Source organism: Homo sapiens, chromosome 20 (genome assembly GCF_000001405.40).
Source record: "Homo sapiens chromosome 20, GRCh38.p14 Primary Assembly".
NCBI lineage: Eukaryota > Metazoa > Chordata > Mammalia > Primates > Hominidae > Homo > Homo sapiens.
The window spans coordinates 13,294,300-13,317,973 of NC_000020.11; the positions used below are offsets into that span (position 1 = coordinate 13,294,300).

The 23,674-nt window shown below is 41.0% G+C and overlaps 2 protein-coding genes across 5 annotated transcripts in view; one reads left to right on the top strand and one right to left on the bottom strand.

Annotated features, from left to right (window-relative positions):
- TASP1 (taspase 1) overlaps positions 1-23,674 on the bottom strand; it is a 534,161-nt gene that overhangs the window by 189,528 nt on the left and 320,959 nt on the right. For 2 of the 3 annotated variants that reach the window (XR_001754319.3, XR_007067463.1), the window contains exon 14: positions 21,671-21,756. Coding sequence is in view for 1 of the 3 variants with exons in the window: in XM_047440269.1 (XP_047296225.1) it covers positions 21,733-21,756 (24 nt within the window). In the remaining 2 variants the exon portion in view is untranslated. Of the gene's footprint in view, positions 1-6,179; positions 21,757-23,674 lie in introns of those variants that run through there. The other variant, XM_047440269.1, reaches the window with a different exon arrangement.
- Positions 1-23,674, top strand: part of ISM1 (isthmin 1) — a 105,450-nt gene that overhangs the window by 73,026 nt on the left and 8,750 nt on the right. Inside the window, exon 6 of one of the 2 annotated variants that reach the window (NM_080826.2) lies at positions 4,643-6,352. The exons of the other annotated variant lie outside the window; for it this stretch is intronic. Within the exon in view, the coding sequence (NP_543016.1) occupies positions 4,643-5,160 (518 nt within the window). The 3' untranslated portion in view covers positions 5,161-6,352. Of the gene's footprint in view, positions 1-4,642; positions 6,353-23,674 lie in introns of those variants that run through there. 2 annotated transcript variants of the gene reach the window in all.

Consider the following 23,674-nt stretch of genomic DNA (forward strand, 5'->3'; position numbering starts at 1 on the left):
TCCCTCCAATCCCTTCACACACATATGATCAAATTGCATTTAACAGGAACCGTCTGCAAATACAATGCATTTGACTGAAAAATAGAAATGACTTTAAAGGCAAGACTTTGACATAAAGTGGTAGAACCTTAAAGGCATTCTTCTGAGACAGAAAGTTTCTCAGGACTCTTCATATCACACCCCACAGGCAGGCAGCATCTAGCTGCTTTGCAGAACACAGCCCAGATGCACAAAGCCACATTGGCATGTGGCTAAGGACACCAGAGCTGAGTAGACATGGTGTCTCAGTCAGGGTCCAGGCAGGAAAGAACATGGCACACTCAAGTTAGGTAACTGAGGAGCCTTTGGTGAGGGACTGCTTGCAAAGGTACAAGCAGAGTGGAAGGATTGAACTTTCATTCTCTCAATGACTACTCAGAGAGGAGGCCACAGCCACAGCCTATCCCAGCTGGCAGCACCTCGACACTCTTGGGTGCACCCTCTAGGTTCCCTCCCACTTAATCCTCTTTGCAACTTTATGAGAGAAGTGCTATTTTTATGCCCAAATTACAGATGAGAAAACTGAAGCACAGCAAGGTAAAATACCTCACTCAAGTCACAGAGCTCCTGAAAGTTGCGTTGCAATTCAATCCCAGGCTGTTTAGCATGCGATCCCACACTTTGCCTTTCGCCAGGCCTTTCTGAGTTCATAAGACATGCCCAATTTTTCTCTTCCTCGTTCTATTGATGAGTGCCCAAAGCCCTCTTGCCAGCTGCCCCTCACCCTGACCGTGTGATTTCCACCCACACCACCACCAGCCTCCCAGGCTCCTGGGTCAGAGCTGGAGTCACTGCTGATGTCTTCCTCTCTTTACTCCAAAGTCCACCAGCCACCAAGGCCTGGCAGCTGTAACTCTCTGATCTCTTCTGATCCCACCTGCTGTTTCCTCCCAGAGTATCTCACCTGGACCCTCCCCATCATTATCGGCTCTGAATTCATTTTCTTACTGCACAGCTCAGTTAATAGCTCACTATCACTCACAAACTTTCCATGGCTCCCTAGTACCCGCTGAACCAGCCTAAACTGAACAAGATTGCCATGATCTGACACCAACAATCTTATATTCCTATACCTTCTGCTCCCATGAAACTGAACATGTCATGCCCCAGCCCCAGACATCCCCAGCAGATTTTTTCCTGCATAACCTTAGTTTGCACAATGAATGCTACCTGGAGAGCCTTCCCTTGTCCTTCCCCCATCGATGCTATTGCAGTCTGTGTCCATTAGACACCTCCAAGACCCAGACACCAAGATGGGATTAGGCATGCAAGAGATTTTTTGAGGAAACACCCAGGAAAGATAAAGAGGAAGGCAGCAGGACTAGGCAGGGACAGCTTTCAGATCGAGGTGCATGCCTGACTCCTACAAAAGAAGAAAGGAAGGCAGGCTCAGCCATGCTGACTGGGAATCCCAGCAAAAGTTGCCTGTTGGAGGAGTCGCTTGTCGGGCGGTTCCCCTACCACGCTCAGTCATTGGCTGAGAGCAGCCAGGGGGTGGATGTTAAAATCACGATAGATCCAAAGGTGCAACCTGGAGGCTGCTGGTCAGCAAAGCATCCACAGCAGGTTCCCTTGTAGGAGCTCTGAGCAGGACACTTGTGGCTGTCACACGGCCCTGACATGGCTCAGGAGCAACCTGGTGTCACGTGCTCCTTGAAGCAACCCTGACTTCCCCTGCTAGAAATGACCTTGCATTTTTGGACACCCCTGGGGCTTTTTGCCTTTGCCTCCCTTAATGCACCCCACATTCCACCACAGTTGGCTTCCTTAGATATGCCTCATCTTACCCACCGCAGCTCACTGGGGCAGATGACCCACCCACTCACTGGGCTGTTGGTGACCAGCCCACATTTCCTCCACCCATAGCATGTCCCTGCACCTCCAACTGGCAACCCCTCTGTGCCTTTGCCTGAGGTCTTTCTCTGGACCCGAGCCCAGCTGCGCATGAATGCACAGGGCATTCCTAGCTGGAAATCCAGGACCAGTCCCCTGTCAGTGATGAATGGGAGCTGGTGGATAAAAACTCAGATCCCCATCAATAAAAACAAATCCGGACTCAGTAAGGAGAGGATTTATTCAAAGGATTATTGCAGGGAGGCAAGGGATGTTATCTCCCTATTATTGCAATGGGATGAACGCTGTGACCATAAGATCTGCAAGCATCTCAAGGTTAGGCAAGGAGAGTTTCCTTTTATAGAGAAGTAAATAAGGGAAAGTGAGATGAAAGAGTGGCATGATCAGATAGTAGATTGGAGAATGCTCTACCCTGAAGCCAGTCTCTTTCCAAAAGGGACCCTTAAGGAGGGGCTGTGCTGGTTTAGGCTGAGGGTGGGCCAAAGTCCAGGGACCTGGGTGAAGGAGAGAAGCTTAATCAAAGTTTGGTTAAGATGCATTTTGTCAGCCAGGCGTGGTGGCTTACACCTGTAATCCCAGCACTTTGGGAGTCCGAGGTGGGTGGATCTTGAAGTCAGGAGTTCAAGACCAACCTGGCCAATGTGGTGAAACCCCGTCTCTACTAAAAATACAAAAATTAGTCGGGCAGAGTGGCAGGTGCCAGTATTCCCAGCTACTCGGGAGACTGAGGCAGGAGAATTGCTTGAACCCGGGCAGCAGAGGTTGCAGTGAGCTGAGATCATGCCACTGCATTCTAGCCTGGGTGACATAGTGAGACTCCATCCACTCACTGCCTCACCCCCCGCCAAAAAAAAAGATGTATTTTGTCCTGATCAATCAGTGAGGACAAGCAGTTTTTGAGGCAAAGAAGGGAATTTGTGCTTCTGGCCTTGTCACAGGTGAACAAAGCAGACCTCTGTGAGTCTTTTCTAAGTCCTATGGGGAAAGGGCGTTCTTTGCAATAAGCTGTTTTCCAGAATGCAGAAGGGCTGGGGGACTCCTAACCTTCACTGTTTTCCAGGATCACAGGGCTTGGGTAAAGTTTAACATTGTCTCAGATAGGAAAATGCTGAGGCATGTTCTCTATGCGGTTTCCCAGATCCCAGTGGGAGTTACCAGTTCCTTACAGTGGTTACTCGTTTGCTCCACACCCTGTATTAGCTGCCCTCCCTTCTCTAATTCCCCTGCTCCCCTGCCTCTGTTTCCTGAAATCACTTCCCAAAAAATCATTTTCACTGGAATCTTTTTGTCTCAGGGTCTGGGGTAACCCAAACTAAGACATTCACTAAACCTGAGACTCACTAAACCTGAAGTCCTGGACTCAGATGACTGAGGGACCAAGAGATCACCCATAAATGAAAGGATCAAGTAGGAGCTGTGCTGAGCTGGGGACCTTCGGCCCTGTCCATGGAGGGGTCACCATTCACCTGTTCACAGGATCAGTTGTTCCCATGGGAGAATGCAGGATCAGCATAATTCGATCTTTTGGTTTTTCAAATAAAGCCAGGAATCCACATTTATAATTGGAATAACCTAATTCTTAAATATAGGCAACTAATCAATTATTTTTAATACTGAAAGAACCAAACACAACCCTTCTGGGGGTAGATTTTGACCCAGGCCTACAGGTCACTGGCCTGTGACCCAAATCTTAAGCTCCCTAAAAGTAAGTGCCCCGGGCTCCTTCCTCTTTGAGGCGCCTTGCCATGTGAATTTGCAGACAGCGATGGTTACATGCCTAAGGTTAAGAGGCTGGGGGAACCAGTCCATATGTGGCAAAATCAAAACTGAGTCCTATAAATCTTCCTTTGGGGCCTTTTCCATCATATCATCACTTATTTCTTTATATTTTTATTTTTTATTTTTATTATTGATTTATTTATTTGTTTATTGAGACAGAGTCTTGCTGTGTTGCTCAGGCTGGAGTGCAGTGGTGCAATCTCAGCTCACTGCAACCTCTGCCTCCCAGGTTCAAGCGATTCTCCTGCCTCAGCCTCCTGAGTAGCTGGGATTACAGGCGCATGCCACAACACCTGGCTAATATTGTGTATTTTTAGTAGAGACGGGGTTTCACCTTGTTGGCCAGGCTGGTCTTAAACTCCTGACCTCAGTGTTTTAAGATGATCCGCCCGCCTCAGCCTCCCAAAGTGCTGGGATTACAGGCATATGCCACCGTGCCTGGCCTCATCACTTATTTAGAGGGGAGATTCAAATAATTCTGAATTCTTAAGTTTGTTAGGAGTGATAATCGGATCACGGTTATCTAGGAAAATATCCTCTTTTTTGTAGATGCTTACTAAAATTTAGGGGTGACATTATATATTTCCACAACATTTTTTAAAAGATAAAACAAATATAATAATAGTTAAATCCAGGTGATGAAATATGGGTAGTCATTGTATAAGAATATTCTCTACTTTTCTGTGTGTCTGAAAATTTCATAATATAAAGTGGGGCATTTGGAGGAAGTCTTGTGAATAATGAAGTTCCCAAGTTCAAGGGACGTGAGAACGGCCATCCACTTCTGATGGTGCCAGGGGGCTGCAGGGGTGTCTGGCTCTAGGACAGGAGTTGTTGACTTCAGGGAGTTGTTGACTTTAGTGTCCTCCTGCGGGCCCTCAGGAGCAGCCTGGTGTCACATGCTCCTTGAAGCACCTCCTGTGGGCCGGTTGTACACGCGGTGAGAGGGTTTCTCTTTGGCCTTTTCCAGACACAGACAGCTGTGAGCGCTGGATGAGCTGCAAAAGCGAGTTCTTAAAGAAGTACATGCACAAGGTGATGAATGACCTGCCCAGCTGCCCCTGCTCCTACCCCACTGAGGTGGCCTACAGCACGGCCGACATCTTCGACCGCATCAAGCGCAAGGACTTCCGCTGGAAGGACGCCAGCGGGCCCAAGGAGAAGCTGGAGATCTACAAGCCCACTGCCCGGTACTGCATCCGCTCCATGCTGTCCCTGGAGAGCACCACGCTGGCGGCACAGCACTGCTGCTACGGCGACAACATGCAGCTCATCACCAGGGGCAAGGGGGCGGGCACGCCCAACCTCATCAGCACCGAGTTCTCCGCGGAGCTCCACTACAAGGTGGACGTCCTGCCCTGGATTATCTGCAAGGGTGACTGGAGCAGGTATAACGAGGCCCGGCCTCCCAACAACGGACAGAAGTGCACAGAGAGCCCCTCGGACGAGGACTACATCAAGCAGTTCCAAGAGGCCAGGGAATATTAAAGAGACTGGGATGAGGTGGAGGACGCTGCCTCTGGTTCTGGAGCACACACGTGCTGCACTGACGTGCCGACTGGCGCCGAGACCTTCATAGCTGCGGTCGTGTATATTTGTATATACCACATGAGTATTTCTCATACATTACGCTAGGGGCGTGTGCCACGCCCAGGGGACTGCCTTGTGAAGCCGCCCTCGCCATCTGCAGAGCTCCTTGAAAGTGCCCCTGGGGAGCGATGTGGGCAGAAGGATGGGGACAACTTGGAAGCCAGAAGAAGAACCTGGAAGCCACAGTGGGTGCGACTCAATTCACACCCGGATCCAGAGTTTCAAAGAGAGGCAAAGGGGGAAAGAGACTGAGGTTGTAAACGTTATAAGCAGTTTTTATATATAACTTATTTAATACAAATGTGACTTAATTAAGCGTAACCTTTTCTCTGGAGTTGTGGTGAAACTAATCACGTCTGTGAGAGATCAGAAAGAAAGAGACTTAGGGAAGTGGAAGAGAAAGGGAATTTTGGAATTTATTTCTTTAAAAATAATGCAATGGAAATATATCAAAACATGTAAACGCCCACCTTAAACCAAATGTTATTTGGTCATGAGGCACCTTGCTGGAGTCTCAGATTCCAAAAGTCTCTTCTTCAGACTGGGTAGGGAATATGATATTTTAGGGACAAAGCTGAGGACTGGTTTTAAATAGGCTTTAAAATAAAAGATCAATATTATCATAATGCTATCATTCTGCTAAACGGCCCCAAAACAGTAGAATTTCTGCTCATGTCCTAGCAGGTTCAGAAGACTGCAGCCAAGTTCAGATGTAAAAACAAGAAGTAGCACTTTTCCAAAGGAAAACAACAAAACAAATGGGAAAAAGATAATGGACCGCATTTCACCTATTTTAATACTATTTTAACAATTTTTTCATCTACCAATATATCCCCAATAAATAAATATAAAAGGGGGGGAGGGTCAATCTGGGGAATCTTAGTTTTTTATGTTTTAAGAAAACAAAAAAAACTGCATTATTTTTGTAAAGTATTTATTGAGTCACGGATTATTGTGCATCAAGCAATTGTTAATATGACCTGGTCCTATGGGGTAGAACTTAGGAAAAATAAAGTTGGTTCTTATTCAATATTTTACTTTGCAAAATTCTAGTAAAAGAGAGTATATAATAAAATCATAATAAAAGGTGTTACCTGCATCCTTCATTTATGATACAAATGCCATAAATAGCCCGTGTGAAGCAAGACTTCAAGGCAGGGGAAAGAAAATTTCAACCCAGGTGGGAATAAAAGGCTCATTCATTGATTGACATGATTGTGGGTGGTGTAAGTCATGGCATCCTTGGCACCAAAATCGTCTACCCAACCCCCAGGAGGCTGAGGCCCATTGACACATGTGTGACTTTTTGCCCGCCCAGACCTAAGGAAGCCAAACCAGAGCAAAGGCTTAAGACAGCCCAGATGAGCAGGGCCACTTCCACAGAAAATTCTGCAATTACAATTATAAGTAGAACTACTCATCATGAAAAGTATTCCTTTTCCCGATGAGAAAATCAAAGCTCAGAAAACATAAAGACATTGGACCCATCTTTCATTTCCTAGCCTAGTATTCTCTCTACTGTAGCACATTTTTGAAGTCCTTATATTCCCGGTACCTTTGGCATTCCTAACCCCACCCTTAAGTTATCCTGACACAATTCTATTCTTATGGAAAACTTTTTACCAGTCATTTACACATTTTTTTTTTGAGACAGTCTCACTCTGTCCCCCAAGCTGGAGTGCAGTGACGTGATCTTGACTCACCACAACTTCCGCCTCCTGAGTTCAAGCGATTCTCGTGCCTCAGCCTCCCGAGTAGCTGGGATTACAGGCATGTGCCACCACGCCTGGCTAACTCTTGTATTTTTAGGAGAGATAAGGTTTCACCATGTTGGCCAGGCTGGTCTTGAACTCCTGGCCTCAAGTGTTCTGCCTGCCTTGGCCTCCCAAAGCACTGGGATTACAAGCATGAAACACCATGCCCAGACATTTACACCTTACAATGAATTATTTACACCTTAGAAGGTATTGCCCATTCTCAGAATATTTATATTTAAGATCTGTGTCTAATCACGGAATGAGAAGACTTATTCACATCTGAAGCAATTTTTTGCTACAGATGAACTGAACTAGTAGGAAGAGAATCAATGCGTCCGTGTATCAGGCATATAGATTTGGTTTATAATAATGAGGAAATTTTTTTTGCAAAGAGAATTGGCTGGCAATGGAATGCATTGCCTTTGAGGTGGTGAGTATCCTGTCAGGACAGGTATTCAAGCAGAGGCTGGAGATTAGTCACATGAACAGCTCAACTGGGTGATCAGGAGAGACAAAAATGTATAGGACAAAACCCTCTGATGTGTTTGTTAAGTGTAAGCACAAAGTACTATGAAGAAATAGAGGCAGAAATCAGGGAAGTATCTGTTGGTTCTAATGAAGGAGTGGGATTTTATAAAGCATAAAAGAGCAAGGGGAAGTGGGTGTATTTGTAATAAGAAAATAGTATGGAGAAAAGCAAAGAAATAGGTAAGTACTTGGTGTTTTCTGAAAACCGGGAGTTTAAGGTGATGAGCAGAGGAACAAGAGTGGCAAGTTATGGAGCCATGTCTAAGGTATTTTTGTTAAGGATTTAGAGTGAAATCTCAAAGAGAACAGAGAGCTTTCTTACTACGGTGAAAATGACTAATGTGAGCCATGCTGTCCATGAGCTATTTGCCTTTTAATATCAGACCTTGCTGACCTAATGAACTGAGAGTTGGAAGGTGGGGTAAATTGGAGGGGAGGGCTCCAGGACTCTGCCTACTGAGAACACCCTGGTCTCCCATGCATCATCAGATGGTTCCAAACCTCTGGAAATTTGCTGAACTATAATCCACCTCTATTAGGATGAGCTAATTTTCAGTCCCAATGCTTTAGTGGGCCAATGAGTGATCTTCGGAAATCAAGACCTCATGCCTAGGTTGTCTAATAAGACTAGGAGACCCTTATCTCATTCAACACAGGGCCCCAAGCTGGTGCCAGGGCAACCCCAGGCAGTTCACTCAGTGGGCAGTAGATCATCTGCTCAAGGGCCAGCTTTGCCTGCAGCAGAGTAAGGAATGAGCAAGGCCACTTCCACAGAAAATTCTGTGGAATTCTAAGGAATGTCTGCAGTCTCGTTGCAGTCCTTGTAAATATGACCCCGCAGTAGCTGCTCAAATTTTTCTCTTTGAGTGCACTGCTCTTTTGCCTTCCCCTGGAAAGAGAGTTCTAGTAATTCAGTGGGCATCCTGGGTGCCACATCTGAACACAACAGTGGTAAACAGAGATGCCCACGGCCCTCTAGTGGCTGCACATGGGAAGGGTAAAGGAGAGGCCAGGGCAGCCTATAGCTTTCTCTTCGGACCCAGTTCATGTAACCGCCATGATTATAGTCTCCCAAGCACCTCAGTCTTTATGTCTTAGTGGCCAAGAGGGTAGAGTTCTCTGTCTTAACGCCGGGGATTAAAGAACAGCTACTATACAAGCCACCATCTTCTGAGCCCACACTTTGTGTCTCTGTGTTAATCATTTTACCACAGGAGACCGGCATTATTACATCCAGTCTATAGATAAGGAAAAGAAGCCCAACAAGGTTAGCTAACTTGTTCAAGGTCAGACCACTTGGTAAATGACAGAGCTCCTTGAAGCCAGCAGTGTCTGATCACCAAAGCCCAGGCTCTTAAACCTAACGCCTGTGCTCTCCTCTCCTCCTAACTCATCCCAAGGTCTGCTGGATCCATGCTTTTCTGTGACTCACTGCCTTTGCTTAGATTGTTCAAAGAGGATCTGGCTTTATCTCTATGTATTTTGCCCAGTTATCTCATAGTCCATAAAAGGATTTTGTGGTTCTATAGCTGAGCCCTTGCTCAGGTTGGGTAAGTCACAAAGCTCAACATTTCTAAAAGATAGCCTGATCCATGGGTGAAAACAAAGATGGGTCTGCTTTTCCCACCACACATAAGCCCTGTGCTAACTGCTGCCTGTTAGGTAGAGCTCAGGGGCAACATAACAGGCACCTAACCTTCCTACATGCCCAGGTTCCAGCACTGCACCTGGCATGCATAGTCAGGCAATGTGCAGAGGGCTTAAGAGTTTGAGGGTTCAGTGGGCCTGGACTCCAATCCTGACTCTCTCACTTGCCTGCTGGGAGTTGTCAGACAAGTTAATACATTGGCATTTAGTCATTTGCCAAATATTTATTGAGCATATACATACGCCAGATACCAGGGATACAGCGGTGTACAAATCAAAGTCCCTCCTCTTGGAGGGGAGATAGTGGATAAGTAAATAAGTGCAGAATCTGAGATTATGGTAAGTGATATAAAGTCAAGTTTTTGATCACACATGTATGATGTTACATTATTTAAGGTGATGCTGGTTGCTGTAACAAATAATCCTCAAAATCACAGTGGCTTAACCCAAAAAAACTCTAAAGAGTATGTTTCTAGCCAAGTGGCCCACCTCTAAGTGACAACCCAGGGACCCAGACTCCTTCCATCTTGTGGCTCTGCCACCATCAAGGTATGACTTTCTAGGATGCCCTGGGGTCATCTCAATCCCAGTCTGTTCAAAAGGTAGAAAGCAGGGAGAAAACTTGTAAAGTTTTTTGTAGGTTCAGCAGTGAAGTACTGTCCAATGCTTCCAGTCACTCTCCTCAGCTCTGCTACATGACACATCCTTCTGCAAGGGAGACTGGGAAATGAAGTCCAGATGAGGGGTCCAGGAAGCAGAGATGGCTGCATGAGCACCCAGTCAGTCTCTGCCAACTACCCAATCCACAAGACAGGAAAGAAAGGCAGCAGAAGAGGCTCTGGGTGGAATCAAAGTGGGCGGTCATGGGGAGAGGTCCTTCTCACTCCCCCACTGTCTTCCACATTGTACTATAGTGCTAAGCTGGACCCCATTTTCCTTGTCTATAAATTGGGGTAAGTCCACCTGTCCAAACTACCCATTGTCCAGTGCTTTTGCTGTCCCAAGCATCCCCTCAGCACTTTCCATATCTGTTCAAACCAGCCCAACTTTCAAGCAGCAGCTCCCACATGTCTTTGCCTGATGGCTTTTTCCATCATCGTGGAGCCCAGTGAGCTTGCACAGAAGACTGGAAGTGCTGGGAGTCAACAGACTGAGTGCCTGTCAGTCAACTGTTTGGTGATCTTGGGGGAATCAGTAAACCCATAAGACTCCACTCATTGGTCAATGAATACCCCAACTCCCTCACCCCTCGAGTGGGGCCATTGTGAAGTGTGTTTTATACCAGTCCACGAGCTCCCAGTGGGATTGAGTTCCAGTTGCCTATAGCAGTCACCTACTTGAAAACACACACTTTATTAGCTTCCTTGCCTTCCCCATCTCTCTTCCCCACTTCCCTACTAGTACTCGCTGGAATCTTCTACCAAATAAGCAGCTTGCTCAGCGCCATCTCTCAGAGTGTGCTTCCAGGGGACCCCAAACCAAGACATCACTTCACGCTTAAATACTTATTAAGTGCTATTCAAATATTATTGTTAATATTTGATATTTAATATTTGATAATAACATAGTATTATTTGAATAGCACTTATTTCATTGTGCACATCTGAAGATGGTTTTGCTATGGGTGATAAATCTACCAAAGAAGAGTCAATCTCATTCTGGCCAGAGACAGGAACTCTACTAGATTTTAATACCGTTGAGTTGTTAAAAAAAAAAAAAAAAAAAACCCTTAATTTTTATTATTAGATTCAACAGACAGAAAATTAATCTGCCAAATGCCTCTAACATTTTTAAGTACTTTTCCATAATTTTAGAATTAATTTCCTTGCTGACTACAGACCCGTACTACTCTGAGGACCACACTTGGAGTGGGACTGCTCAAATCAAGTGAGCAATAGTGATCAAAACCCCTGTGAGTGTCAATTCCATCCCGACACACAAAGAGTTATGAATAAGCTTCCCAGGAAGTGTTGTGGGGCGGGGATTAGGGCGGAGTTCTCTGTTTGTCATTCATTTACAATTTCCAATGGAAAAATGTGTGGGTCGTCCCATTATGCCTGCACAATTTCGGACAAATTAAAGGCTTGCCTCAGTAATTACTGGGTGGGTATATACAGAAACATACATCCATGTCTACAGGTCCTGCATACAGTAGTGTAAATTAAGGCAGAAAGTTTACAGCCAGTTGTTTTTCTGAGGCTTAGTATTGGTTTACCATATGAGAGTAGAAGGAGAGGGACATATTCCAGGATCAGAAGGTAAGATTTTTAAGGAACGAATTTATGAGACTAGCAATTCTTGGTTGAATCCCACCAAAAGAACAAAGTTTAAATGCATACCTTTTTTCTTTTTAATTTCTGTGTAGAGATTTAAAAAACCAAGCTAAAAAGACCAGTGCCTTGCCTGTAATGGCAAAAATAACATCATCCTCAACCATTTTAGTGGCAGGGGAATGAGTGGGGCACTGGATTGAGACACAGCTGCAATAGCAAAGCTGGGTAAGAATTTTATGACTTTGCTAATTTTCTATCTGTTCTGGGAGTAATAAATGTGCCCTTATAGATATTCACGATTGCCCTCAAAATGAAAAAAACCTTTTAAATGGCACAGAAAAGCCTTTCATTCTTGAGGCATGTAATTCATGGATGATTTTCAAAATGTCATATTTGAATTGGGAAAGTAACATTTCTTGAATTAATCAGCCAATTGCTTCAAGAATATGACTCAAAGGATATAAAAATTTCAAGCCTGACTTTTAAAAAAGAAAAAGGAATTTTTTTTCTATGTTGTTTAGTTTATTTTTCACAAAGGTCATAGCTAAATCAGGTTTATTTGCCATGGAAGAGAACAGTCTAAATGAAGTACACTTTTAGTTCTTTAGTAAAAGGGAATGTTAGCAAATTTTAACAAGCACCACTTTAAATTTTTACACCATTAGACATGCGGTTTTGCTTTGTCTAGTTATACCCTTCTTTATTTCCCTCTCTACCAGATTTTGGTGGTGTTTTTTGTTTGTTTGTTTGTCTGTTTTCACCTTTGGAGAGCTCAGCAAATGGAGAAGGAGAAAGGACAAAAAAAAAAAAAAAAAAAAAAGCAAAGAAAATAAAACAAAGACTTCCAGGACAAAATTCTCTAAGGGGCCTCTAAAGTCACTCACTCTCTGTGTTATCAACATAAGTAAAGGGAGGTCTTTGCAAAGGGAAGACAAGAGAGACTCATACCACTGACTTGACTTTTCCCAAAGAACCTTCAAAAATCCTCCCTTAGAGCTGTCAGGACCCAGCAGAGACCAGGAAGGGATTCCTAAAGGTTTGAAGTCTCAGAGCCAAGGGATGGGGACTCTGGTCAAGAAAGAACGAGGTGTCCCATGCTGGTGGCTACAGAGGACAGAATCTCCTGTCAAGAACATGTCAGGATCCTCACCTGGGGATCCTAGAGAGTGGAGCCCAAGGCCACCTGCTCTGTGTTTCAGGAAAAAGACCACATTTGAATCCCTCTTGAGGGCTCCCTCCTGCTATTACAGGATATTGGAGGGAGAGAGAAAGAACAAAAGCAGCTGATCCAGTGCCAGAAAGATAAAGGCTTGTTCACACTACTCACCAGCAGCAAATGTATAAAGCTGAAGCTTAACATCAAACTCACTTTCTGTTCCACTCTTCACTATGTCTACACAGCACCATTCCAGTCAACCTCCCCACAGCATTCCTCCCATCCCCTCGGCCACACATTTGACCCTCTTATAGCCAATTGGCCATCCTTTGGGCCAGTCTTTTTCAAAATACTTTTGGAACATTTTATGGAAGTAGTACATACATTCAGAAAAGCACACACGTATCATAAGTTCACGGCTCAATGAATTTTCACAAAGTGAATACACCCATGTCACCAACATCCATACCAACACCAAGAAAAAACAGAATATAAGGCTCATGAAGGAGCTCTCTGGGGCTACAGAAATGTTCTATATATTGTGTGGTTTGATTGTCAAAACTCACTGAAGTGTACACTTTTTAAAAACTGAATTTCTTTGTATGTAAATTTTACCACAACACAAAATAAATAAGGCAAAACCAGCACTCCCATGCCCCCGTCCAGTAACGGGCACTCACTCCTCACCAAGAATAATCAGTATCATGAATTTTACACCAGATTAGTTTTGTCTGATTTTGACCTTCGGGTAAATGGAATCGTACAGCACCCGCTCTGTGAGGTCTGGCATATTTTGCTCAATATTGGATTGTGAAATTCTTCCATATCGCTGCTTGCAGCTAAAGGTCATTCATGCTTATCACATTTCCAATGTGTGAATATATCACAATTTTATTTAACAGTTCTACCATGGAGGAACATTTGGATTGTTTCTAGATTGGGGCTTTCACAAAGAGTGCTACTATGGACAGTCCAGGGTGTGCTTTTGGGTGTGCGTATTCACACATTTCCATGGGGAGTGGAATTAGAAGGTCATAGGGCATGCACAGCTTTAGTTGATACTGCCCAGTAGTTTTCCAAAGTGGTTGTCCTGGTGGACACTCCGTTTAGGAGTGTTTGAAAGTTCCCATTCTTTAGCCAATCTCAATTTCACCCCCTTCACTGTCTTTCCTGACTACTCCACTCTGTGATCTCTTAATTATTTATGTTTAACTCAATACGTGCATACTGAGCCCCATTCACTGTGCTGCGTGCTGGGGACACAAAAAGGAATAGACAGGAATCCATCATCAATGAATGAATGGCCCAGTGGGGGTGTCTGTAACACAGTGTGAATCTGATGTAACTCAGATGCTTGTAATACAATGTAAATGGTACCATGGGACCAAATGAGGGTGTGATTAATTATGGCAGTAATAACTAGTGAGCCAGAATTTATACATTATTATTTAGGAAAATAAACCCAATGATTCCAAGTCTTGGCAAGGCGATGAGGAAACAGAAACTCTTACCATCACCGCTTATGGTGTTATGAATTGAACAGTACTTTGCCTATATCTAGTAAGTTGAATCTGCCACATAGCTGGATGCATCAGTTTCACTCCTGAGGGCCTGTTTTTGTATTGTCAAAAAGTGGAAACAGTTTAAATTGTCCACCAACAGAGGAACAGACAAATCAACCATGTTAAGTTCATAATAGAGAATACAATCCAGCTGTTAAATGATCTAGGCTATTCGTATTGTCAAAAATGTGTCTATACTGTCTGAAAAAGAAAATTACAGATGGATGCATGTTAGGTACAGAACATTTGTGTTCCCCCAAAATTTAAATGTTGAAATCCTAACCCCCAAAGTTATGATATTCGGAGGTGCAGCTTATGGGAGGTTATTAGGTCATGAGGGTGGAACCCACATGAATGAGATTAGCATCCTTACAAAAGGGACCCCGAGAGAGCTCTCTTGCCCTCTTTCCACCATGTAAGCACAAAATGAGAGGTCAGCAGTCTATAAACCAGAAGAGGACTCTCAGCAAAATCTGGCCATGCTAGCACCTTGATCTCAGACTTCCAGCCTCCAGAAATGTGAGAAATACATTTCTGTTGTTTATAGGCCACTCAGTCTATGGTAGTTTGTTGTATCAGCCTGAACTGACTAAGACAGTATATGAAAGTAGTATACAATTTTAATAATTTAAAACTCACAATGCAAGGCTACATTATATCTGGACACCAACATACATAATAAAAATACTAAACTATGCATGGGAAGACTAAGCACCAACTTCAAGACAATAGTTACCTCTGAGATGAATGACAGTGAGTGGGTGGAGGAGGGGATACTTTAGAGGTAACATTTTATTTCTTTAAAAAAAAAAAGCCTAACAGAATAAAGGACAAAACATTTTATGCTCATCTCAAGAGATGAAGAGAGTATTTGACAAAATTGAATATTATTTCATAATAAAAACTCTCAATGAATTAGGTGTAGAAGAAATGCACCTCAACACAATCAAGACCATATAGCACAAGCCCACAGCTAACATCATACTCATCAGTGAAAAGTTCATTAAAGCTTTTAACCATCAGTGAAAAGCTTTTCCTCCAAGATCAGGAACAAGACAAGCATGCTCACTCTTACTGCTTATATTCAGCACAGTTCTGGAAATCTTAGCCAGAACAAGTAGGCAAGAAAAAGAAATAAAAGGCATCTAAATCAGAAGACAGGAAGTGAATTTATCTCTGTTTGCAGATGGTATTATCTTATATTCAGAAAATCCTAAAGGCTCCACCAAAAAGCTGATAGAATTAATAAACAAATTCAGTAAAGTCATAGGATACAAAATTAACATAAAAAAATCAGCAATGTTTCTATAAGCAAAAAAACTATCCAAAAAAGAAATCAAGAAAACATTCTCATTTACAACAGCATCAAAAAAAACTAAGGATGAATACATTTAACCAAATGGATGAAAGATCTGTACACTGAAAAGTATAAAACATCAATGAAAGAAACTGAATAAAAAATAAACACTTGAAAAAATACTCTGTGTTTACGGATTGGAAGAATTTATATCACAAAAATGTCCATATTACCCAAAGCAATCTACAAATTCGATGCAATCCCTAACAAAATTCTGATGATATTTTTCATAGAAACATAAAAAACAATTCCAAAATTCATATGGAAGCACAAAAAATACTAAATAGCCAAAGCAATCTTGAGCAAAAGGAACAAAGCTGGAAGTATAACACTATATGTCAAAATATACTACAAAGGTGTAGTAATCAAAACAACATGATACTAACATATAAATCAATGGAGCAGAATAGAGAGCTCCAAAGTAAATCTACAAATTTGTGGTCAACTGATCTTTGACACATTTGCAAGAACACACAATGGGGAAAGGGTGGTCTCTTCAATAAATGGTGCTGAGAAAACTGGATATCCACCTGCAGAAGAATGAAATTGGACTCTTATCTCACCCCACATATAATAGTCAACTCAAAATGGATTAAAGACTTAAATATAAGACCTAAAACTGTAAAACAACTGGAAGGAAACAGGAAAAAAAATGTATTGACATTGGTCTTGGCAGAGATTTGTCTCCTGCCCAAATATGTAGGCAACAAAAGCAAAAATAGGCAAACGGGTTTGCATCAAAGGAAAAAGGTTCTGCACAGCTAAGGAAGCAATCAACAGAGTAAAGAGAAAAATTATGGGCTGAGAGAAAATACTTGCAAACCGTACATCTGATATGGGGTTAATCCGAAATACATAAAAAACTCAAACAACTTAACAGCAAGAAAACAACTTGATTAAAAAGTGAGCAAAGGACCTGAATAGACATTTCTCAAAAGAAGACATACAGAAGGCCAATGGATATATGTAAAGTTGCTCAATGTCACTAACCGCAGGAAAATGCAAATTAAAACTACAATAGGATATTACTTCATACCTGTAAGGAAGATGTTTATCAAAAAATATAAAGAGGCCAGGCACGGTGGCTCACGCCTGTAATCCCAGCACTTTGGGAGGCTGAGGCGAGTGGATCACCTGAGGTCAGGAGTTTGAGACCAACCTGGCCATCATGGTGAAACCCCATCTCTACTGAAAATACAAAAATTAGCTGGGCATGGTGGCGGGTGCCTGTAATCCCAGCTACTCTGGAGGCTGAGGTGGGAGAATCACTTGAACCCGGGAAGCGGAGGTTGCAGTGAGCTGAGATCATGCCATTGCACTCCAGCCTGGGCAACAAGAGTGAAACTCCATCTCAAAAAAATAGATATAGATAGATGATAGATAGATAGATAGATAGATAGATGATAGATAGATAGATAGATAGATAGATAGATAGATAGATAATAAAATATTTGTAAGAATGTGGAAAAGGAGAACTCTTGTACACTGCTGGTGGGAATGTAAATTGCTACAGCCATTATGGGAAACAGCATGAAAGCTCCTCAAAAAATTAAATATAGAACTACCATGTAATCTAGCAATCCCACTCCTGGGTATATATCCAAAGAAAATTAAATCAGTATGTGAAAGAGATATCTGCATCTTCATGTTCATTGCATGATTATACTCAATAGCTGAGATATGAAATCAACATAAGTGTTCATATACAGATAAACAAGTAAGGGAAATGTGGTATGTTCACATTATGAGATGCTAGTCAGCTTTTAAAAAGGAAGAAATTCTTTCATTTATGAGAACATGGATGAACTTGGAGGACATTATGTTTAGTGATATAAGTCAGGCACAGAAAGACAAATTCTGCGTGATCTCACTTATATGTGGAATCTAAAAAAATCAAACTCATACCAGCAGAGAGTAGAATGGTAGTAACCAGGGGCTTGGGAGGCGTAAAGGGGTGTGGAAAGGGGAAATGTTAGTTAAAGTGTACAAAGTTTCAGTTAGGAGAAACAAGTTCTGGAGATTTATTGTACAGCATGATGACTGTAGTTAATAATCTATTACATACTTGAAAATTGCTGAGAGTCTATTTTAAATATTCTCAAAAAAAATGAATGTGGTGATTGATATGTTAACTAGCTTAATTTTCCCACAATGTATACACATATCAAAACATCACATTGTACACCATAAATATAGACAATTAATCATTTGTCAGTTAAGAATTAATTAACTTTTTTAAAAGAACATATATATATCTTAAAGTGTTGATACGAGTTAAATCTGAGTATTGGGTAGGGTACAACTGCTACGTTATCTTCTGTATATGTGATATATTTTAAACCAAGTACCAAAAGTAAGCAAAACTAAAAGGGAAAATGCAATTATGCTGTGAGTTTAGATGGGATCCTACAAAGCCATGCACATGTGAGTTCACAGCCGGCATATGTGAGTTCACAGTCGGCATGTGTGGCCAGTGTATGTGGCCGTGATGGGTTGAATATGGAAATGTCGTGGGTGAGACATCCTTACTCACTCACTCACAGGTAATGAAGCCACTCCTACCAGCCTTGCTGGTTCCTCCAAGAGATGCAGAGAGGCACATCCTGCACAACGCCCTGCAACTTCTCCCTTCCTCTCCCTCATGCACAGTCTGAGATAAACAGAGCACTAGACTCGGAACCATGTTCTAAATTCAGCATTTACTGGACAGGAGGCCTCAAACAAGTTTCACAGCCCTAATGAGTCGCAGCCTGCTGAATCACACCTTCCACTCTCTCCTGCTCTCCTGCCTCTGGGGCCATGACAGTGGACTGAAGGGAGCCAAGGAGACATAATAAGAAAGCAAACTATGGGGCCCCTGGCTCCCACCTCCAGCTGAAACACCTACTTTGTGCTACTCTGGGAAATCATCACACTTAGTCATCTTTACAATTTTTACAAATGAGGACCCTGAAGCTCAGGGAGTGGGCTTGCCATGATCACAAGAGTAGATCCGTATTTAAACCTGGGTATGTCTGACTCTAAATCCATTTCTTCTTTTCCCCACTTTTTATTCAAATGTGGAAATGGTATCTTTGATTTCTTTTGTTCCCTCTGCTTCACCTTACCTACACCAAAGGAGCATCTGGGTGGGGTGTGGAGGAAGTAAAATTTGAGCCTCATCTGCGCATCTTCCAAATTCTAGCAGGTCCCCCTCGAGCTAAAAGGCATTTTTTCCTGATCTTCACCAGTCAGTTCTTCTTTGGGCCCCATCCCACCACCTTAACCAATGACTCCCGCATCCAGGTCTGCCCACAGATCCCTTCTACAGCCTCCCCCTGAAAACTAATTGCAGATTATTAGAACTTTGGCTTCCATTCCAGTGTGGAAGAAGCCAGAATTTAACACTCCATCCTAACAATTTCCCCCCACACGCACCTGTTAAGTTTAGCCTAAGGCTGCCTCCTTACACATTTTAAGTTCAACCTAAAGGTTTCTCTGCAAATAGTGAAGTGTAACCTAACTGGATGTGTAAACAGACTGTAGCTTACTCTTGTGTCAATCACAGAATTTTGGCCAATCACAGGCAGCCAACTATTCAAACCCTGTTCAAATAAGGTAAACACGGAGCCGTAGTCAATTGGGCTGTTTCTGCACCTCACTTCCATTTTCTGTACAACACTTTCCTTTTTCTTCCACCACACAGCAGGGCTGGAGTGTTGCTGGAGTGTCTCTGAGCCTATTCGGGCTCGGGAGACTGCCTGATTTTGCAAATCATTCTTTGCTCAATTAAACTCTGCTAAATTTAATTTGTCTACATTTCTTCTTTTAACACACCTTACCACATCACTAAAGTCCTATTTTAAACAGCTCCTTTTACCAATATATCATGTCCAGCTATCAAGAAAAAATTATAAGACATAGTAAAAGGCAAAAACTACAGTTTAAAGAAACAGAGCAAGCCATCAGAGCCAGACTCAGATATGGCAGGGATGCTGGAATTGTTAGGCCAGGAATTTAAAACAACAAGGATTAGGGTGCTAAGGGCTCTAATGAATAAAGTTGGCAACATGCAAAAATAAACTGGCAATGTAAGCAGAGAGATAAAAAATTCTAAGAAAGAAACATAAAATGAGATGCTAAAGATCAAAAACATAACAGAAATGAAGGATGCTTTTGATGGGCTTTTTGGCAGACTGGACTTGACTGAAGAAAGAATCTCTGAACTTGAAGACATCTCAATAGAAACCACCAAAACTGAAAAGCAAAGAGAAAAAAAGACTGAAAGAAACAAAACAGAACAGTCAAGACTTAGAGACAACTATGAAAATTGTAACATACACATAATGGGAATACAAGAAGGAGAAGAAAGAGCAGAAGAAATATTTGAAATAATAATAACAGAATTTCCCTCAAATTAATGGCAAACATAAAACTATAAATCCAGGAAGTTCAGAGAATAATGAGTGGGATAATGCCAAAAAGAAAAACCCCTACACCTAGGCATATGATTTTTAAACTACAGAAAAACAAAGAAAAAATTCCAAAAGAAGCCAAAGGGAAAAAACACCTTATCTATAAAGGAGCAAAGATAAGAATTACATCCACCTTCTCCTCAGAAACCACATAAGCAATAAAAGAGTGGAGTGAAACATTTAAAGTATTGAGAGAGAGAAAAAAAACCACCTAGATCCTGTGCCCTGTGAAATTAGACTTCAAAAGTAAAGGAGAAATAAACCTTTTCTCAGACAAACAAAAATGGATGGAATTTGTTACCAGTAGAAGTGCCTTGCAAGAAATGCTAAAAGAAATTCTTTAAGAAAAAAGGAAAATGATAAAGGTCAGAAACTCAGATCTTCATAAAAAAGGAGGAGAATCAGAAAAGGAATAGTGAAGGTAAAACAAAGTCTGTTATTTTTCTCTTTCTTGATTGATCTAACAGATAACAGTGTGTTCAAAATAATAACAGCAATAATTTATTCAATTATGCACATATCTATATCTATCTATATGTTTATACATGCATGTATGCTTATGTATAAGTGAAATGAATTCCAGCAATAATACAAGGGATGAGATGGAAGAATTAGAATTATTATAAGGTTCTCACACTATCCATGAAGTGGTACAGTGTTATTTGAAAGTGGACTTGGATTAGTTGTAAATGTACATTGCAAAATCTAGAGCAACTGCTAAAAAAAAGTTTAAAAGGAAGTATAACTAATATGCTAATAAAGGAGAGAAAATAGAATCACATAAAATGCTCAGTGAAAACCACGAAAGGCAGAAAAAGAATGGAAGACAAAAACAGCAAAAAACAACAAGGACAACAAATAAAAAATAGTAATAAATATGATAGGTATTGATGTAACTATATCAACAATCACTTTGAACATCAATGACCTAAATATACCAATTGAAAAACAGAGGTTCTCCTAGTGGATCAGGAAACAAGACTCAACTATATGCTGTCTACAAGGAATCCACTTTAAATATAAGGCCACGTAGAAAGGTAAGTGTTTGCAGAAACATGTTATGCTTGCACCAATCAAAGGAAAGTAGCAGTAGCTATCTCAAACAGAGTAGACTTAAGACCAAGGAAAGTTATCAGGGATAAAACGAGTTGTTACGTGATGATAAAAGGATCAAGTCTCCAAGAAGACATAACAATCCTTAATATGTATTCACCTAATAACAGAACATCAAAATACATGAGAAAGAAACTAATAGACTGCAAAAAGACATAGATGAATCCATTATCATAGTTACAGATTTCAATACCCCAACATCCCTCATAGTTGAACTCAACAACACAATTAATCAACTGGACATAATGGACATCTATAGCCTACTTCATCCAACAACAGCAGAATACACTTTCTTCTCAAGCTTATATGAAATATTCACCAGGACAGACCACATACTGGACCATAAAATACACCTTAAAAAATATAAAAGAATAGAAATCATACAATGTCCACTCTCAGACCACAATGGAATTGAACTAGAAAACAATAACAGAAAGCTGAAAAATCCCAAAAGCTTACAGATTACACAACATACTTCTAAATAACACATGGGTCAAAGAAAACATCTCAAGACAAACTTTTAAACACTTTGAACTAAATGAAAATGAAAACACAACTTACCAAAATTTGTAGGATGAGGCAAAAGTAGTGCTTAAAGGGAAACTCTGAAAAGGTAAATAAATTCAATAAGCTTCTGCGCTGGCCAACTGTGAATAAAAGAGAAAGGGTACAAATTACTAATATCAGAAATGAAAGAGTGGATATCACTACAGATATCATGGACATTAAAAGGATAATAAAGGAATACCATGAATAACTCTATGCCCACAAATTGATAACCTAAATGAAATGGATCAATTCCTGGAAAAACACAATCTGCCAAAATTCACACAAGAAGGAACAGACAATCTGAAAAGGTCTATATCTATTAAGGAAATTGAATTGATAATTAATAACCTGTCAAAACAGAAAGCACTAGCCCAGGTAGGTTCAATGTTGAATTATACCAAACATTTTAAAAAGAAATTATTTCAATTCTCTACAATATCTTTCAGAAAATAGAAGTAGAGGGAATTATTATTAACTCATCCTATGAGAGCAGCATTATCCTATTACCAAAACCAGACAAAGCTATTACAAAAAAAGTACTGACCAACATATCTCATGAATATTCGTGCAAAAATCCTCAACACAACATTAGCAAATCAAATCCAGTAATGGACAAAAATAATTATGCCCCATGACCAAGTGGGATTTATCCTAGATATGCAAAGGTGGCTCAACATGTGAAAATTAATTAATGTAACATATCAACTGCTAAAAAAGAAAGATCACATGATCATAGAAACAGATGCAGAAAAATCATCTGACAAAATTCAACACCCATTCATTATAAAAAAAAAAAACTTTCAATGAACTAGGAATAGATGGGAACTTCCTCAACTTGATAAAGAAAACCTACAAAACACCCGATAGTTAATACTTAGCGGTAAGAAACTCAAAGCTTTCCCACTAAGATTAGGTACAAAGCAAAAACATCCCTTCTCACCATTCCTTTTCAACATCATACTACAAGTCCTATCTAATGCAATAAGACAAGAAAAAGAAATAAAAGCCATATAGATTGAGAAGGAAAAAAAGGAAGAAATAAAACTGTCTGTTCATGGATGACATGATTTTCTATGTAAAAAATCCAAAACAATCAACAAAAAATCTGGAATTAATAAGCAATTATAGCGGCATTGCAGGATACAAAGTTAATACACAAATGTTCATTGCTGTATACCAACAATGAACAAGTGGAATTTGAAATTCAAAACACAATACCATTTACATTAACACCTCAAAATTGAAATCCTTAGGTATAAACCTAATAAAATACATACAAGATCTACACCAAAAAAACAAAACAAAACAAAAAAGCTACAAATCTCTGATGAGAGAAATCAAAGAAGTAAATAAATTGAGAGATACTCCATGTTAGGGAGGCTCAATTTTGTCAAGATGTCAGTTCTTCCCAACTTGATCTATAGATTCAAGGCAATCTTATTCAAAATCCCAACAAGTTATTTCATAGATATCAATAAATTGGTTCTAAAGTGTATAGGGAGAGATAAAAGACCCAGAATAGCCAACAAAATATTGAAGGAGAAGAACAAAGGTAAACGACTCATACTACCTGACTCTAAGACATAATATAAAGCTACAGTAATCAAGACAGTGTAGTACTGACAAAAGAATAGGCAAATAGATCAATGGAACAGACTAGAGAGCCAGAGAATAGACCTACACCAATAGAGTCAGTTGACCTTTGACAAGGGATGAAAGACAACACAGTGGAGAAAGGAGTTTCTTTAATAAGTGTTATTGGAAAAAGTGAGCATTCACATGCAAAACAAATGAATCTAGTCACAGACTTTATACCCTTCACAAAAATTAACTCAAAATGAATCATAGACCTAAATGTGAAACATAAGATTATCTAAAAGTCCTAGAAGATAACATAGGAGAAAATCTAGATGACCTTGTGTTAGGCAATGACTTTTTAGGTACAATACCAAAGGCACTATCCGTGGAAAAAAAAGTGTTGGTAAGCTGGACTTCATTAAAATTAAACTTTTTTGT